This window comes from Homo sapiens, chromosome 11, assembly GCF_000001405.40.
Source record: "Homo sapiens chromosome 11, GRCh38.p14 Primary Assembly".
Taxonomy (NCBI): domain Eukaryota; kingdom Metazoa; phylum Chordata; class Mammalia; order Primates; family Hominidae; genus Homo; species Homo sapiens.
Window position 1 is genome coordinate 75895933 of NC_000011.10, and position 18391 is coordinate 75914323.

General features: G+C 37.7%; 1 protein-coding gene and 1 pseudogene across 9 annotated transcripts in view; one reads left to right on the forward strand and one right to left on the reverse strand.

Annotated features, from left to right (window-relative positions):
* The window catches only part of UVRAG (UV radiation resistance associated), a 329023-nt gene that overhangs the window by 80723 nt on the left and 229909 nt on the right, over positions 1–18391 (forward strand). For all 9 annotated transcript variants that reach the window (NR_170160.1, NR_170161.1, NM_001386671.1 and 6 more), the window contains one exon: positions 16022–16107. Coding sequence is in view for 7 of the 9 variants with exons in the window: in NM_001386671.1 (NP_001373600.1) it covers positions 16022–16107 (86 nt within the window). In the remaining 2 variants the exon portion in view is untranslated. The remainder of the gene's footprint in view (positions 1–16021; positions 16108–18391) is intronic.
* Positions 15268–15692, reverse strand: PPP1R1AP1 (protein phosphatase 1 regulatory inhibitor subunit 1A pseudogene 1; annotated as a pseudogene).

Below are 18391 nucleotides of genomic sequence, written 5' to 3' on the forward strand. Positions count from 1 at the left end.
GTACTGTGGGATACAAAAGTATAAGACATGGATTCAAAATTTATTTTCTTTGTTGAGGAGATAAGACAGTATATATTCCAGAAGACATGCAGTTTACAAATGAGTTTAGTTTGAAAAATTGTTTTTGGTGTCATTTGTTTGCATCTTGCAGATAATGCAGGTAAGTTATAGCAGAACCTTAAATAATTTGAAGAGCACTTCAGGAAGAGGTTTTAATGTTTGGTGACTATTGGGAAGCAAAGAGGAGCTTTGTTATACCTTGAAGTTGGTGTGGAGGTTGGTGAATAAGGCTGGGTGACCTTTAGAGATTTCTACAGGGGTTTTCTAGGTGGGTTTAACCGCTATGATGGTGATTAGGGGAGGATGATAAATAAAAAGCTGTTGAGTCAGTAAGCTGGAAATCTTTCAGATCCCTATTCAGGATTTTGCCTTTAATGTATACAGGTAAGATTATCTTTGCCTTTATTTCATTTTGGTGACCACTCGTCTTTTGTGGGACTGCTGACAGCTGCTTTTTATGAATGCACAGTCCTAGTCGTTAGGAATATGGATATTGGAGTCAGATTGATATAAGTTTAATTATAGGCACTCCTGACAACTATTACTCCAGTAAATGGAAACTTCTACTCACTAGGCTCTAAATCCTATGATAAGAGGAATTACATCTCTAATGCTTACCATTGTATTAACACTATATCTCTAGCACAGTGCCTGGTATGTAGTAGGCTCTCAGTAAAACTTTGTTAGTGAATGAAGGTGAATGCTTGCTGTGTTTAGGGCTATCACAGCAATCATTGAGAATAAAAATCTTGAGTAGATGATATTTGTTCCACCCTGGGTTACCTCCAGCCTCAACTTTTGGTATTTATTTTTATGTAACTCATATTGGCATAATTACTCCAACTTTTGTGCTATTGATAAGGTGCAAAAGCATTAGACCAGTTGTTATAAGGCTGGAGTGAAATTACTTATAGACAAATCTCTAAAGATTAAAGAGCTGTGAAGGTAAGTATATAGATACATAGAGATACAAGTAAGAATTTCATTTTTCTGACTAGAAGCTACAGCGGTAATATCTTTAGAGTCCAGTAGATGGCAATACTTTCTCACTTTAATGGAAAAAATTAGAGCAGGCATAGAATCCAAGTCAAAAGGAGCAAATCTTTGTGGATGAAAGAAACCCAAGATATTGAAATAGCAATTTGGTGATGAATTTCACAAAAATAACCATATAACTTGATCGTCTCGAGTACATAGGCTGAGATTGAAGATTTAGGTATAAAAAGTTTCAGGATCTGTTTTGAAAGCCTGAACAAATGAAAACTCCTTATTTTATATTTTTCAATTTGTTCTGGTACTGTGTTGCTTAGCAAATCACTTAACTTCTCTCAGTTTTAGGTTCCTCATCTCAAAAGTAAGAAAATCCTAATTAGCTGGATAACACCGCAGGGAATATTAGTTATCTAGCCCAACACTCTTATTTTGTAGATGGAAAAACTGACGTTCAGGGGGCTCATGATTTATTGAACTTGACATGGCAAGTTAGCTCTATGCTACAGATGATAACTTAGACATAGCTATAATTTATTTTATTTATTATTATTATTTTTGAGATGGCATCTCATTCTGTCACCCAGGCTGGAGTGCAGTGGCATGATCTCGGCTCACTGCAACCTCTGCCTCCCAGGTTCAATCGGTTACCTGCTTCAGCCTCCCGAGTAGCTGGGATTATAGGCATCCGCCACCACACCCAGCTAATTTTTGTATTTTTAGTAGAGATGGGGTTTCACCATGTTGTCCAGGCTGGTCTCGAACTCCTGACCTCAAGTGATCTGCCCACCTCGGCTTCCCAAAGTGCTGGGATTACAGGCATGAGCTACCAGCTGCTATAATTTATTTATCTCTATATATCTATATACTTACCTTCATAGCTCTTTAATTTTTTTTTTTTTTTTTTGGACAAGTCTCGTTCTGTCACCCAGGCTGGAGTGCAGTGGCGCGATCTCGGCTCACTGCAAGCTCCGCCTCCTGGGTTCAAGCAATTCTCTCTCTCAGCCTCCCGAGTGGCTGGGATTACAGGGGCCTGCCACCACGCCCGGCTAATTTTTTTGTGTTTTTAGTAGAGATGGGGTTTCAGCATCTTGTCCAGGCTGGTCTTGAACTCCTGACCTCGTGATCCACCCGCCTCGGCCTCCCAAAGTGCTGGGATTACAGGCGTGAGCCACTGCGCCTGGCCCATAGCTCTTTAATCTTTAGAGTTTTGTCTGTAATTCATTTATTCCAGCCTTATAACAACCTTAGAGGAAGGTAGGGCCAATTTATCATTATTTGCTTAAAAGAAATTGAGTCACAGAGGGGCAAAGTGACTTCCTTTCATTCCGTGACTTAATCATTTCTGTACAATGAATTGCCCCTTTCTCTTTGCTCCTGAAGCCCTTTTGACATACCTCTGTTAGTAGCTCTTGAGTTTATTGTAGTTTTTTGAATTGTCTATCTCTCTCTCTTTCTAGAAGGTACAAACTGTATTTTAACTTTGTAATACCAGGCTCAGTAGCAGGCATCTAATAGGTATATAGTAAGTACTTATGGAATAAAAATGAATGGCCAAGATGTTAGGATGAGTTGTGGCAGAACCTGGATCAGAACACATCTCTCCCTCTTTATAGACGTGCACTTTCTTCGTTATACTACGTCACCTGTGAAGAGGTGATGTGATAGAAGATTTTCATCATTTAATTTTTGTTTGAGGTTTCTTCCATCATTTAATTTCACTGTGATTATATACTGTTAGCGACATCTCCTTTAACTTATAGCGTCTTAGGGGGGCAAGTAGTAGTATTTTCATTTTCAGGATGAAGATGCTGAAACCCAGAGAAGTTAAGAGATTTCCATGTAGTTAACTTTGTAGAACTGAGAAATTAAATAGGTGGTTATTTCCTCTTGCTAGTCATACTAATGGATACTAACTTGTTTCCAAAGCACGTCCCAAACAGTACGCAAGCAGAACATCATTCAGAAGTAGGGATTAACTGTCCCAAGTAAAGCCAATATTTTAATAACAAAGAGCTGGATATGGTGTATTTCTGCCCAGGTCTTTTAGTACATTATCAAGGAAAAGTTGGAAAAAAAATCATTTAAAAAGTCCATTCCTATGCATATTCTGTTTGGTTTTCCTTTCCCCTGCCTTACAAAATAGAACAAAGAAAGACTGGGAAAATCCTCAGGGACTGTTTATAATAGCTGCTTGCTTTATTATAAAGCATCTAGAGATCTGAACCCAGATTAAATCCAGGGTAAAATTTTATTTCTGAACTATTTGAGCTGGTGTGATTGTGTACTAACAGTATTATACTAGGTAAGTATAGAGCTTTTATTTATTTTATTTTTAAATATTTCTTCCATTTCTCTTCTCAGGAATACAGAGCTTTAAAAAAACTACCATTGCCAGTTTTCATTTACTGAGTGCCTGCTATGAGACACTATGTCAGAAAGGTTATGTATTTTTATTTAATTTGTGTATAACAGCCCCATGAGGTAGTTCTCCTGCTTTTATGAGTGAAGTACCTTAGAAGAAGGCATTAAACTACTGCCCCAAGCAAGATGGCATAGGTGGTGAATAGCAGATCCATGATTCGAGCCCAGGTCTCATTCATTTGAAGGCTTGTTTTCTTAACCGCTATGCTGTATGACATCTCCACATTTCTTCCCACTTCATATAGTGTGACAGCGTACCAAGTCTCTGCCTTCACATTAACCAGCACAAAGCATAACTAGTTGTGCATTGTGGGAATCAAATGAGAGAGAACACGTGCAAACACTTTGAACAGTATCAAAGTGCTTTATTCTACAGACTTTGTGCATTTATTATTGTAGAGTGGGCATGCAATGCCCATGAGACCATCAACCCACTGAAGTCCACAAAAGTTCCACACATTAGTCACTGTATTTGGCTTCCCTCTGAGTCTTTTTTCCCCCTTTTCTCTTGGATTGAATTAGCTTTTGACAGGTGTTTGGAAAATCATCTTATCCTGTAATTCATATTTATAAACCCTGCTGCTGCAGTGTGGTCCCCATTCTCTCTCTTCATTGAAGCCAGAGAATAATCTGGGAAAATGCCACGTTTCCTGTTATGAATTTGGAGGATCTTGTCTTCTTAGCACAATTTTTGAGCTTTTGAGAACTTTTAATACTGTAAAATTCAAAGCCAAGTATGGTTCTTTATATAGATGTTTTAGATTCTTGAGAAGTAAACAGAAACAGAGTTCGACTTGTTCTCACCAGGGGATTCAGAGAGTTTAAAATTTTGTTTTGTTTAATATTTTGAAAACTTGTTTTCACCATTCTTTTTTAGATTTGTATAGAGGGCATTTTTGAGCCTCCTCACCCCATCCTGTAAGTTAATTTCTGTTTCAACTGTTGTACAAAGCTGGGAATCTTCCCTCATTCTCTTTTTTTCTCTCTCCACGAATGCTAGTTAACATGCTGTCACTGTTGCCTTCTCTTCTTTCTCTCTGCTTTCACCGTTATAGTAATTTGGCCATACATCCTTTCTTCCTATTAGGGTGTATGCTCCTTTAGGGCTGAGGTTATGCCTTACTCAGCTTTAAAGTCTCAGACTTTGCTTACTGAATATTTTTCCATGAGTGAATGAAGTCTACTAGGATCACGTTGTTCCCATCTCTGTTTTAAGGTAGACTTTTTGCTTAAGGGACGGCTACTTCAGCAGGGTTACTTTCAGTCCTCATGTCATGGAGTAGCATTGAAGGCACTTAGTCCACTTCATACTTGGAGTGTGTGCCTGTGATTGTGATTATTTTCTGAGAATATTTGAAGTATGAACAAAAACATCTTCATCTCTGTTGATTTAAATTTAAAATAATTAATTTTAATTTCAGGATCTGTATATCTTTGCTTAATGACACTATTCTTATTTCTCAGTGCTTCTCACTGTTTTAAAGGAGAGGAAAAACATCCTCTGTTGTCTCAAACACTGGGCCAAATCTGAGGGGATGTACTCATTCAGCTCAGGTTAATTGTCTAAGAAGAGGTCTCACCTTTCCTCCTTAACTACTCAGTATCTGGGCTTCGTCAGATCTCAGAGCCAGGGGTGTCTAAGGCTTGATGATGCTTAACAGAGATACGTACACAGTTTTATTCGGCTTAAACTTGGCTGATGCCTAGAAGTGTTATTAATGTCCAAATGAACATATACACCTAGGAACACAGGCTGTCTACTGATTCATTAGGTAGCTGTAGTCATACAAACAAACACTGTATTTTTAAAAAAGTATACTCATTGCATCTGAAAATGTGCTCAAGTAGTAGGATGAGCCATTGTTTTTTTTTCCCTTGCCCATCAAGATTTCTTATTTTACCTAGGTTAAGTAGAAGACGACTATTTTCAAAGCTCACTTATGGTTTTATGAATAAATATAGAACACTGGCAAGTCCTGCTGGGGAGAGATTTCCTCCCAGATAAACACCTCCAGTCTAGATTTCCATGTATCTAAACATGTGTCAAATTTGCCTGGATGTTTCAGAGATACATATGCTCTCCATAGCCCAAACTGAGCTCAGTTCCCTTCCCCTCTCACAACACTTCCTCCTGCTGTGTTTCTTAGTGAAGTGAATGGTACCACAATCCATCTACTTTCTCAAGTCAGAACATAGAGTTGTCCTGAGTCCCTTCTTCTGTGTTTCCATCACTACTGATGGTGGCTGCTACTTTTTTCCTGGTTCTTGACATTATAGTCAGATTTATTTTTCTAAAATGATCATATTCTTCCTTTATTCAAATCTTGTCAGCAGTGTTTGCCCTCAATAATTAATGACTTATGAGGTCTTGCTATTCCTTATTTCTAAACACTCCATCCTTAACACTTTCTCAGGCTAAGATTTGTTCACGTCAGTTTTAGCTAAGGCCTCATTTCTATAGGAAGGTTTTTCTGTGATATACCTCTTAAGTCCAGTGTGGATAGATCCCTTTTATATGCTTCCGTAGCACCTTGTATTACATTTCCCTCTTCACTGACCCTTATCCTATTATATTCTGATTGCCCGTTTGCTTACCTCTCTTACCTGCTACACTGTAAACTGTGTGAGGGCAAGGACAGTGTCTGTTTTCACCTGTTGATCCCTAGTGCTTAGCACTGTGTCTGGCATGTAATAATAATCCAGTACATTCTTGTCAAATGAGTGAATGAAGCTTCTGTAGCAGCAGATCATTAGAAATTCTATTGGAATACACCACTTGGTTGTCATCAGTAGTATAGCTCAGCAGTCCCCAACCTTTTTGGCACCAGGGATCGGTTTTGTGGAAGACAAGTTTTTCCAGGGACGGGAGTGGGGACGGTTTCAGGATGAAACTGTTCCACCTCAGATGATCAGGCATTAGTTAGATTTTCATAAGGAACGCACAACCTAGATCCCTTGCATGTATAGTTTACAGTAGGGTTCGAGCTCCCATGAAAATCTAATGCCCACGCTGATCTGACAGGAGGGGGAGCTCAGGTGGTGATGCTTGCCCTGGGGGTTGGGAACCCCTGATATAGCTTGTTACTCAAAATTGTAATTCTCTGTCTTAGTGGTTTCTGACATTTCTGCATAGATGCCTGCCAAATTATTATACTTTAAATGGAGCTCTTCATTTTTTCTCTCCAAGGTTGCTTTCTCTTCCAGTTTTCCATGTCTTTATTAACTATTTTTTCATTTATCCTGGCCTCAAATTTTATAGTTAAGTGTTGATTTTTTTTAATTTTATCCATTCTATTCAGTCAGCCACTAGACTCTTTTGAGTTCTTCTTTGAAGTAGTTCTGGTATCTGTGGCTACTTTTCCCTCTCCATTGACATAATCCAAGCTCAGATCAACATTCCCAAAGGGCTGGGTCACTGCAGTAGTTTCCTGGCGGACCTATAGACTCTAGTCTCTTTGTATCCACTCTGTCTTACTGCTGCCTGATTAATCTTGCTAAAGGATGCTTTCGTTTTTTATTCCTTTGCTTAAAGATTGTATGGAGTAAATTCTTATTGTCTGCTAGATGTGTCCAACTCTCTGGTCTGATTGCTTTCTCTCCATCAGCCCAAATTCAGTCAGTTGTATAGTACTTTGGGTTCTGTCTCCGCTTTTTATCTCTCTTCTTCCTTCTCCTCCTCCTCCCCACCTTCCTCCTCCTCCTCTCTCTTTTTCTGTTTCTGTTGTTTTTTATTACCATTGCCACTGATGGATTTTGAACCCTCATTATGTCTAATATGTATGGATTTTTATAGTAGCCTCCTATCGGGTAGTTGGACAGTCTTCCTCCAATTTATGAGGTTTGTTAATACCAGAGTAACCTTCCTTAAATGTAGCTCTGATTATAACCCTAAACTGTTAGAAACCTTCCATGAGTTCTTACTGCCCATAGGTTGTCTTTACATTTTAGCATGGTATTCAAGACTTGCTGTGTTCTGGCCCTCCTTACTTACTTATTCAGCTGTATCTCCCACTACTTCCCTCTCCAGGGATCCAAATAATTTCCACGTCACTGAAGCTAAACGAATTGGACTACTATTTAATTTTCTCTGAATGCAGCTTGTGTTTTCCTGCTGTCATGCTTTGGCTAAAGGTGTTCAGTCTGTGTGGGACTTTCCTTCACTGCCATTCAGCTTTTCAGTACTACTTAATCCATCCCAAATACTGCCACCCCTGCAGTCTTTGATGTTCCTGCTCTACCAGATGGAATCTTTACTGCAGCAGAACTCCTGTAGCTTTTTAAAAAGCCTTTCTTATGGCACTCTTGCATTATTTGATTCACTTGGAACCTTCACTGGGTTGTGTTCTCTATGAGGACAGTAGTAATAATTGCCTAACACCATCTATGTACTCGGTGTTCAGTAAACACTGAAAGGAATAAGTATATGTATAATGCTATTTGCTTCCTAATCAGTTATCCTACTAACTGCGTTATTTCTGTATACATTTTGTAGTTTTAATGAAGTTAAGGACAGTCTTGTGTTGTTGCAGCTAAAAACTCTCAAAATATATAGTAACATGTTTTAAAACGTGACTCATCCAATGAACTAGTACAGGGATAAGCAAACTGTAGTCCAGCACATATTTTTGTATAGCTTGCGACTAAGAATGATTTTACATTTTTAAAGAATTTTAAAGAAAAAATAAGACTATGTGACAGAAATGACATGTGGCCTGCAAAGCCTAAAACATTTACTATGTGGCCCTTTATGGAAAAAGTTTGCTGACCACTCATCTAGAAATACACCTGACTTGCCTGGAATTACTCCTGCTCATTGGATATGTTAAATTATCTATTTCCCTGAGCAGTTTAATAGGCACTCACCCAGACTTGTTACTATTCTGTTCCTTGAAGAATTGTTAGGCCTGACTTCAGAAGAATTTTGAGTGACATGTAAATCTCTTCTGGGCTCTTTGGCACTTGGCAGTATCTCACACAGATAACCAGATACAAATGAGCCGTTTCTTTCCATTATAATCCTTCATCAGAAGTCTGTTGGGATCGAACATCTGGTGAAGTTAGATGTCATTCAGAACAAGGCTCTTAGCATATTTCAAGAATGTTAATTGCTAAGTGATGGCTGAAACAGGAGGGCTTAATAATGTCCTTAAATTGCCTTAAATGTACATGGACTCAGAATTTTTAGAATTGGAAAAGGTCCTAGAGATCATCAAGTATAGCCTGGTTCTTAAGAACACGGGCTGTGGAGCCAGACTGCATGGCTCTTCTCTTTAATCCTCTTTGTGTCTCAGTTTCCACACCTTTAAAGTGGGGATATTAATAGCACCTGTTTCACAGGGGTTTGTGAGTATTAAATGTGTTAACATTTAACATATTAACAGCTAACGTTGACATGTAAAATACAATACTGCCTGCCACACTGTAAATGCATGTAAACATTACTTTTTATATTGCTGTTATTTTTTATTACTGTTTTTATTAGTAGTAGTTGCATCTCATTTTATAATTAAAGAAACTGAGGCCTAGGAGAGTTAAATTATTTTCCTTACTTATGCGATAGGCAGAGTAGATTAAAACCCAGGATTCTAGCTTTCAGTTGAATGTTCTTTCCCTGTTATAAAGTGTGGCTTTTAGTTGTATGTCGGTGGGTGTGGATAAATTTTTTATAGTAAGAAAAAATATTTGGCAGCTTTTTCCGTAAAATAAGAAAAGCTAAGTAGAACATCATTAATTATTTCTCCTGAGAATCTTAAATCTACTTCTCAAGTCTTCTATTATTTGGATTTTGTTGCTGATTTATAAGACTGTCTCCTCTGTCCTTTTTCTCCTCATCTCCTCTTAAAATGTATTGATTATTTCTTAGCATCCATTTTTTAAAATTGAAGTGAAATTAATGTAACATAAATTAACTGTTTTGAAGTGTGCAATTCAGTGGCTCTGGGTACATTCACAGTGTTGTGTACCACCATCTCTGTCAAGTTGCAAAACATTTTCATAATCCCCAAATTAAACTTTGTACCTATGAAGTGCTCACTTTCTATTTTGCTGTCCTCCAAACCCCTGGCAAACACCAGTTTGTTTTCCATCTCTATGGATTTACCTATTTTGGGTATTTCATACAAATTGAATTATGTAGTATGTGACCTTTTGTTCTGGCTTTTTTCACTTAGTGTAATGTTTTGGTGTTGCATCTACATGTAGGAAGGAATGTACTTCATTCCTTTTTAGGGCTGAGTAATATTCTATTGCATGTGTACACACACAGAGACACACACACACACATTTTGTTTATTCATGTCTGTTGATAGACATTTGTGTTGTTTCTCTTTTTTTGACTGTTGTGAATAGTGCTGCTGTGAACATTTGTGTACAACTGTTTGTTTGAGTCCCTGTTTTCAGTCTTTTGGGTATGTACCTAGGAGTGAAATTGCTGGGTCATATTATAATTCTATGATTACCTTTTTGAGGAACTGCTAAACTTTTTTTTTTTTACCGTGGCTGACCAATACATTCCTAATAGCAATATGTGAGGGTTCTCATTTCTCCACATCCTCACTATCTTCTGTTTGTTTGTTATGCTATTTGTATGTCTTTATTTGGAGAAATGTCTCTTGCAGTTCTTTGCCCATTTTAAAATTGAGTTGTCTTTTTGCTGTTGAATGTATGAGTTCTTTATATCATCTGGAAATTAGACCTCTGTCAGATATACAATTTGTAAATATTTTCTCCCATTCTGTTGGGTTCTTTTTCTACTTAATTGATAGTGTCCTTTGATGCACAAAAGTTTTTGATTTTAATGAAGTATAATTTACTGATTTTTTTGTACTAATGCTTTTTATATCATATCTAAGAATAGATTGGTAAATCCAAGGTTATATAAACCCCTGTGTTTTCTTCTAATAGTTCTATAGGTTTTTTTTAGCTTTATAGTGGGTTTTTTTGTTTGTTTGTTTGTTTGGAGATAGAGTCTCACTCTGTTGCCCAGGCTGGAGTGCAGTGGCGTGATCTCAGCTCACTTCAATCTCTGCCTCCTGGGTTCAAGTGATTCTCCTGCCTCCAGCCTCCCGAGTAGCTGGGATTACAAGCGCGTGCCATCATGCCTGGCTAATTTTTGTATTTTTAGGAGGTACCAGGTTTTACCATGTTAGCTAGGCTGGTCTCGAACTCCTGACCTCAAGTGATCTGCCCACCTCAGCCTCTCAAAGTGCTGGGATTACAGGCGCGAGCCACCGTGCCTGGCCAGCTTTATGGTTTTACAGTTAAGTCTTTGATTCATTTTGAGGTAATTTAAAAATATGGTATTAAGGACAGGTCCAACTTCATTCTTTTAAAAGTGGCTATCCAGTTTTTTTAGCACCATTTGATGAAAAGACTTATTTCCCCATTGAGTAGTCTATGAACCTTTGCTGAAAATCAGTTGATCATAGATGCATCGATTTATTTCTGGATTCTCAGTTCTATTTTGTTGATTTATATGTCTGTCCTTATGCCAGTGCTATCCTGTTTTGACTATTGTTGCTTGGTATTAAGTTGAAATTGGGATATGCGAATCTTCTAACTTTGTTCTCTTCAATATAATTTTGGCTATTGACCCCTTGCAATTCCATATGAATTTGAGAACTGGCTTGTCCATTTCTGTAAACAAGGCTGCTGGAATTTTGATAGAGATGGCATTGAATATCTTATCTAGATTGCTTTGGGTATTGTTCCTATGTTGATAATATTAAGTCTTTATATCCGTGAACATGGGATGCCATTTTATTTATTTTGGTCCAGTTTGGAATACACTTTATTTTTCTTGCCTAATTGTTCTGGCTAGAACTTAGAGTACAAATGTTGAGTAGAAGTGGTGAAAGCAATCACCTTGTCTTTCTTGTTTTTGATATTGGGGGAAGATTTTGAGTCTTTCACCATTGAGTATGGTGTTAGCTGTGGGTTTTTTGTAGATGCCCTTTATCAGGTCTGGGAAATTCCTTTCTATTCCTAGTTTGTGATTTTTTTTTTTTTTAAATCATGGAAAGGTGCTGAATTTTGTCAAATGCATTTTCTGCATCAACTGAGATGACTGTGTGTGTTGTGGTGTATTACACTGATCCTTCCTTCCTTCTTTCTATAATTTCTCTTTTTGACAGAGTCTTGCTCTGTCACTTAGGCTGGAATGCAGTGGCACAATCATGGCTCACTGTACCCTCAAACTCCTGGGCTCAAGTGATCCTCCCACCTCAGCCTCCTGAGTAGCCGGGACTGCAGGCATGCATCACCATGCCCAGCCAATTTCTTTATTAAAACAATTTTTTTTTTTTTTAGAAATGGTGTCTCACTGTATTGTCCAGGCTGGTCTCTAACTCCTGGGCTCTAGTGATCCTCCTGCCTGTGCCTCCCAAAGTGCTGGTATTACAGGTGCCTAGCCTGATTGATTTTCATGTATCGAAATTCCCTTGCATACCGTGTATGAATTTCAGCTGTTCATGGTGTATAATCTTTAAAAAATTTTTTTTGTGGTAAATTACAAATACACAAAATTTACTATCTTAACCATTCTAAGTATACAGTTTAGTGGCATTAGGTACATTCACACTGTTGTGCAACCATTGCCACCATCCATGTATTTCATCTTGCAAAACTTTTCACCTTACAAAACTGAAACTCTTTATTAAACAATAATTCCTCATTCTCCCCTATCCCCTGGTCCCTGCCAGTTACCGTTCGACTTTCTGTTTCTATGATTTTGACTACTCTAGGTACCTCATATGAATGAATGAATGAATGTTTTTCCTTTGATTGGCTTATTTCACTTAATATAATGTCCTCAAGCTTCATCAATGTTTTAGCGTGTGTCAGAATTTCCTTCCTTTTTAATGGTGAATAATATTTCCTTGTATGAATATACCATGTTTTGTTTATCCATCATCTGTCTGTGGACACTTGGGTTGCTTCCACCCCTTGGCTATTGTAAATAATGCTGCTATGAATATGGATATACAAATGGCACTTCCCATTCTTGCTTTCACTTTTTTGGGGTACATACCCAGAAATAGTTGCCAGGTTGTGGGCTGTAATTCTTTTAATATGCCACTAGATCACTTTTAGTAGTATTTTGTTGAAGATTTTTATATCTGTATTCATAAAGGATATTGGTCTATAGTTTTCTTGTGACATTTTGTCTGGCTTTGGTATCAGGATAGTATTGGTCTCATAGAATAACTTAAGAAGTATTTCCTTGCTTTTATGTTTTTTGAAGACTTTGAGAAGGATTGGCATTAAATAATTGGTCAAATTCACCAGTCAAATAATCTGGTTCTGGGCTTTTTTTTTTTTTTTTTTTTTTTTTTTGTGGGAGTTTTGTGATTACAAATTCTATCTACCTCTTTATCTGTTATAGGTCTGTTCAGATTTTCTGTTTCTTCTTGAGTCATTTTTGGTAGTTTCTGTTTCTTCTTGAGTCATTTTGGTAGAGTCATTTTGGTAGTTTGGTAGTTTATATCATTTTGTCTACATTATCTGATTTGCTGGAATACAATTAATTGTTCACTGTATTCTTTTATAAGCCTTCTTATTTCTGTAAGATTGGTAATAACGTTCCCACTTCTTTCCTGATTTTAGTGATTTGAGTCTTCTTTCCTTTCCCTTTGGTTAGTTTACCTTAAGATTTGTCAATGAGCCAGGTGCAGTGGCTCATGCCTGTAATCCCAGCACTTTGGGAGGCCAAGGTAGGAGGATAGCTTGAGTCCAGAAGTTAAAGAGCAGCCTTGGCAACATAGTAAGACACCCTTCTCTATAAAAAATTAAAATTAGCTGGGCGTGGTGGTGCATGCCTGTAATCCCAGCTAATTGGGAGGCTGAGGTGGGAGGGTCTCACGAACCCAGGAGTTCAAAGTCAGTCTGGGCAACATGGAGAAACCCCATCTCTACAAAAAAAATACAAAAATTAACTGGGTATGGTGTTGCATGCCTGTAATTCCAGCTATTCAGGTGGCTGAGGCAGGAGGATCGCTTCAGCCCAGGAGGTTGAGACTGCAGTGAACTGTGATCATGCTACTACTCTCCAGCCTGGGTAACAGAATCAGAACTTGTTTAAAAAAAAAAAAGATTTGTCAATGTTGATCTTTTTAAAAAACAAGCTTCTCTAGTTTGAATTAATATCAACTTAGTTTTAATGCTGTAAAAAGCTTTGCTTCTGTATAGCTCTATTCCCCTACCTTTGTGTCATTGTTTTCACAGATTGCATCTTTATAATGGTGTGCCCATCAAGATAGATTTATAAAGATTGTTTCATGTATTTGTCTAGTTGATTGTTTTTTAAATGGTAGATCAACTAGACATTCTTAGGCTACATCCAGTTAATAATATGTCTTTTTTAATCTTTATAATGTATTGCTGGTTCAATTTGCTGATATTTCGCTAAGGATTTTTGTGTTTCTTTTCGTGAGGGATATTGGTGTATAATTTCCTTTGTGTGTGTGTGTTGTCTCTGTCTAGTTTTGGCATCAGTAATGCTAGTTTTATAAGTTGGAAATTGTTCCCTTCTCCGCTTTCTGAAGGAGTTTGTGTAAAGTGGATATTCTTTCTTTCTTAAATGTTTGATGAAATTCATCAGTAAGACCATTTGGACAGGATTTGTGTGTGTGTGGGAAGATTTTCAATTGCTTATTCACTAAAAAAGTAGATATGGGACTATTTAGATGTTTCATAGTATGTCTGTTTGGGCACTTTTGTGTTTCTTTTCAAGGAACTTGTCTAATTAAGTTGTCACAGTTATTAGCATAAAGTTGTTAATAATATTCTCCTAATATCCTTTAAATGTCTGTAGTGATATAACTTTTAATGATACTACTAGCATTATAGCGAACATGTATGTGGTGCTTATTAAATACCTTTCATTTTACAGATATTAACTTTTAATTCCCGCATTTTGTGAGGCAGTTACTATTATCATCTCCATATTACAGATGAAGAAACCAAGGTTAAACTAAGAGCACTCTGGTTCCTTGCTTAAGATTATATAGCTGTTGTATTGAAGGCTTGAATTGGACTCCTGGTGGGTCCAGAGTCTTTTTTTCTAAATTACTGTGTACTCTCCCCACCCCCCACTTTTTTTTTTTTAAGAAACATGACTATTTATTCCTTTTTATCTTTTTTTTTTTTTTTTGACAGTGTCTTGCTCTTTCACTCAGGCTGGAGTGCAGTGGTGTGACCGCCAGATTGGTTCACCTTGCCCTCTGCCTGGACAGAGCCAATTTATCAAGACAGGGGAATTGCAATAGGGAAAGAGTAATTCATGTAGAGCCAGCTATGCAGGAGACTGGAGTTTTATCATTACTGAACTCAGTCTCCTCTGCCTTTCTTAAATGACAGAGATACCTATTCTGTTCTTCTTCTGGAATTGTCCTGTATTCTTTTTAGAAAGTATCCTTGCTACTTTGTACCACAGAGTAGAAATATTTGTTTCTGGTGTTCCTAGTCAGAACTTGGAATGCCCTTTTCCCCATAAAAACATTACATATGATGGCTAGGCATAGTTGAAATATTATTGTTAATACTCTTTTTGAGTCACATAATATGTTAAAATGACTTCTGGAGCTTCCTTGGGAGGTTCACCACAATTTATAATGTGAAACATTGTTTCCGTGGGAAACTGTGAGAAGAAATGTATTTTATTTTTTTGACCTAACACCGAATTTATCACTTTTTAAAAACAAGATATTTTCAACAAAAGTGAAGAAATAAGAAACAAATCCAGTGTTCATGCATTCCCAAACTGCAGCCTTGATTCCAGGATACCTCCTTCTCTCAAACCGAGCTGGCTTCCTGGGAATCCAGTGGTGGTACATGGATCGAGGGTTCCTTTGTGCTGCATTTTTTACTGCCTCTCTCCTGAGTTGTCGGGATAGATTCTGCAGGCTCTTGTGCTAGCCCAAAGGTGCCCAGCCTTGACTCCACTTCCGTGTCTTTGATCCTGGGTGGGCACGTTTCCTGGGTCCCTGTGCTCTCAGAAGCTTTCTCAGGCACCTCTCCTTGGTGCTGTTGCCCCAGGTGATGTTCAGCCATCATCTGGAGCTCTCTCGTTGTGGGTGTGATCCTTGTCATCTTCTGTCACTGTGGAGACATTACCAAAGTGGGTCGAGGATCCGTGTTCATCTTTCTCTGGGGATGACTGGTCAGCACAAGGGTGGCAGCGTTGGGCGACATGTCCAAATCTGCTCTGCCCCCTCGGGGTCTGGGGGCTGTTGTCTTCCTCCATGGCTGGGGCGGCACCTGCTGGGCTGGCACTGTGGTGGGAGGGAAGGCCGCGGGACTCAGGGCTGGGCTGGGCGCGCTCCTTCTCCACTCTTGTCAGATCCCCCTGCCAAAATTTATTTTACATTCCCTCACCTGAAAGGTTAGGCTTCTATTACATGGCAGATATACTTTACTTTTTGGAATCTCTAAAATTTTAGATTTACTCAGTTGTTAATATGTCATATTTTTAAAAAGACAAGCATGATTAATTTGTGCATATATTTTATTTTGTTTGGTTTTGATTAATTTGTTGGTTAATGTCTTTCAGGGTTATTCAAATGCTCAGAAGACTATTCTTCTGCAGGTGGATCAGAACTGTGTTCGCAATTCTTACGATGTCTTCTCTTTGCTACGGTAAGAAACTTCTTAGATTGCCCTGAATTCTAAAGAATCTTTCTCATTTTGAGTTTGTGACATTTCAATGTGAGAAAATTAACGGAAGCTTTAGAGGCTGTTATTCAAGCTTAGCATTTTTTAGTGCAAGCGTCATAAATTTTGTAGCTACAGTGATTTAAATTTATCTATTTTACAAAGTCTTTGGAAAGCCATTTCCTTTCTCTGGACAGTGGGAGAGAATATTTGGAAGCCAGTGATCTGAAAACAGACATGAACTGTTTTCTGGTCTTCTGTACCCTACAGAACAGTAATCAAAGTTGCAAAAGTTAGACTTATCAAAGTCTTAACAACTGCGGCATCACTCGGAAAGCCCTTCAACGGCCCCAAACATGGCTTTGAGTTTGGACCTGTTCTTTGTCTTAAAAGAATTATGTTTGGCAAGCCAAAAAAGCTTTGCATGTATCTAATGCTCAGAGGCTTAAAGGCCTCAGCTCTATATTTTCATAATGTCTGGGCTTAATTTTGAAAGATTTTAAAATCTGGCTTTAATTTTAAATGTGATAGATCATCAAGGATATTTTTCCAGGGAGCAAGCCACCAAAATAAATGCAATTCCAAATAAAGTTAACAGCAACACTCAACCAATGTTCACCCTACTCAGACAGATTGTTCATTGAAATTTGATTTTGACAGTATTTTCTAATGTTTACGTGACACATAATACATTTCAGAACATTAGACATCCTTTATATATGTACTTGAGGAAGAATCCAGAAGGATGCTCGGAGAACTGGTTATTTTAGAAACTTTACAAAATTGGCCTTTCGTTTGTGAAACTTGAATCTTATTACACATGATATAGAGTTTGGTCACATGGACTGTGTCCATTAATCTTAAGAAACATGATTTTGACTAAAGTAACCATATACATTTTCTGAGTTTTGGTTCTTGCTTGAGAGATGCCTACACCTTGACTGCTTAGGATATGTAGCAGAACACACAGGATTTAGAAATTAGAGGGTGGAGATTGTAGTAAACATATTTTAATGCCTGTTCAGTTTGAGACACACAAAGTTTTAAGTTTTGAAAAGAAGAAAGTTCAGAAATTATTTGAAATATGAGTAAGCCACTAATATTTCTTGATCTCAGTTTTCCTTAGTAAGTAAAATGAGGCGTAGGGTACAATTATTTTAAAGATATGTTCTAAATGTGAGATTGTGTGACCTTATTAGAGAAAACAGTAGAATTAAAAGAAAAAATACTAAGTCAGGAAGAAGAGGATTTGGGATAGTGCAGTATCATAGATGCTGAAAGAGGATAGTTTCCAGGAGTAGCGAACACTGTGATAATGTAGGAGAGCAGGAACTGAAGAAAGACTGTTGGATCTTGTGAAGCAGTGTGGTATCATGGAGGATGCTTTGATTAATCCTACCCTGCCTTTATCTTTGATTTATCCTAATTCATTTAACCTCTGATGCTTCTAAAAAGTGGAAGCAGTGATGTAACAAATTTGTGTAATTTACAAGCATTTTCACATTTTTTATCTTATTCTCTTAGAAGTCCTTCATGCATCAGGGATGATAGATAGCCCTTGTCTTGATTGTAGAAGCTGAGGCCAAGAGGCATTAAATGTTTTATCTATCTGAGGGCACACAGCAAGTAAGAGCCAGACTGGAGGATGCTTTGACGGTTTTCTGACAATGTTTTTGTAGATCCTTTTAATAGTCTCACCTTCCTAAACTGGTGGTTACAAGGCACACATGGCATAATGACTGTGGACATTCTTTAGAAAACACAATGCCCTACATAAATGCAAAGTCATCAGGCTAATTTAGTAGTTGCTCAGTTATTGAACATTGATCTTGCAATGATTTGGCTCTTGGGGAGTTCATATCTAGAGTATTTTTCAGACTCTTCAGATGTGTCAGTAATTTGAACTGCCTTATTAACAGTGGTCTCCTCATGCCTATTGTACAATTCATGCCTAGCTAATAACACAGATATACTTTTCCTAAACCAGATCACGTGACTATTTATCAACCAAATTTACTGAACCCAGGGAGTTGTTCTGGAATTGGAAACTTTAAATTGCACTTATTAAAGTTGATGAGTCAGATGGGACTTTGGTGATAGTTCTCTCAGACATTAGTAAAGAGTACCCATCATCTGCTCTATTAAATGATCCTCTTTTCCCATAGTGTTTGCCATGATATATGTGAAGTGCTTTCTAGGAAACTTAATTGTGTGCCTATTGAATTAAACTCTAGTTCGTGGTTTCCTCTCTAACATTGTCCTTGGCTGG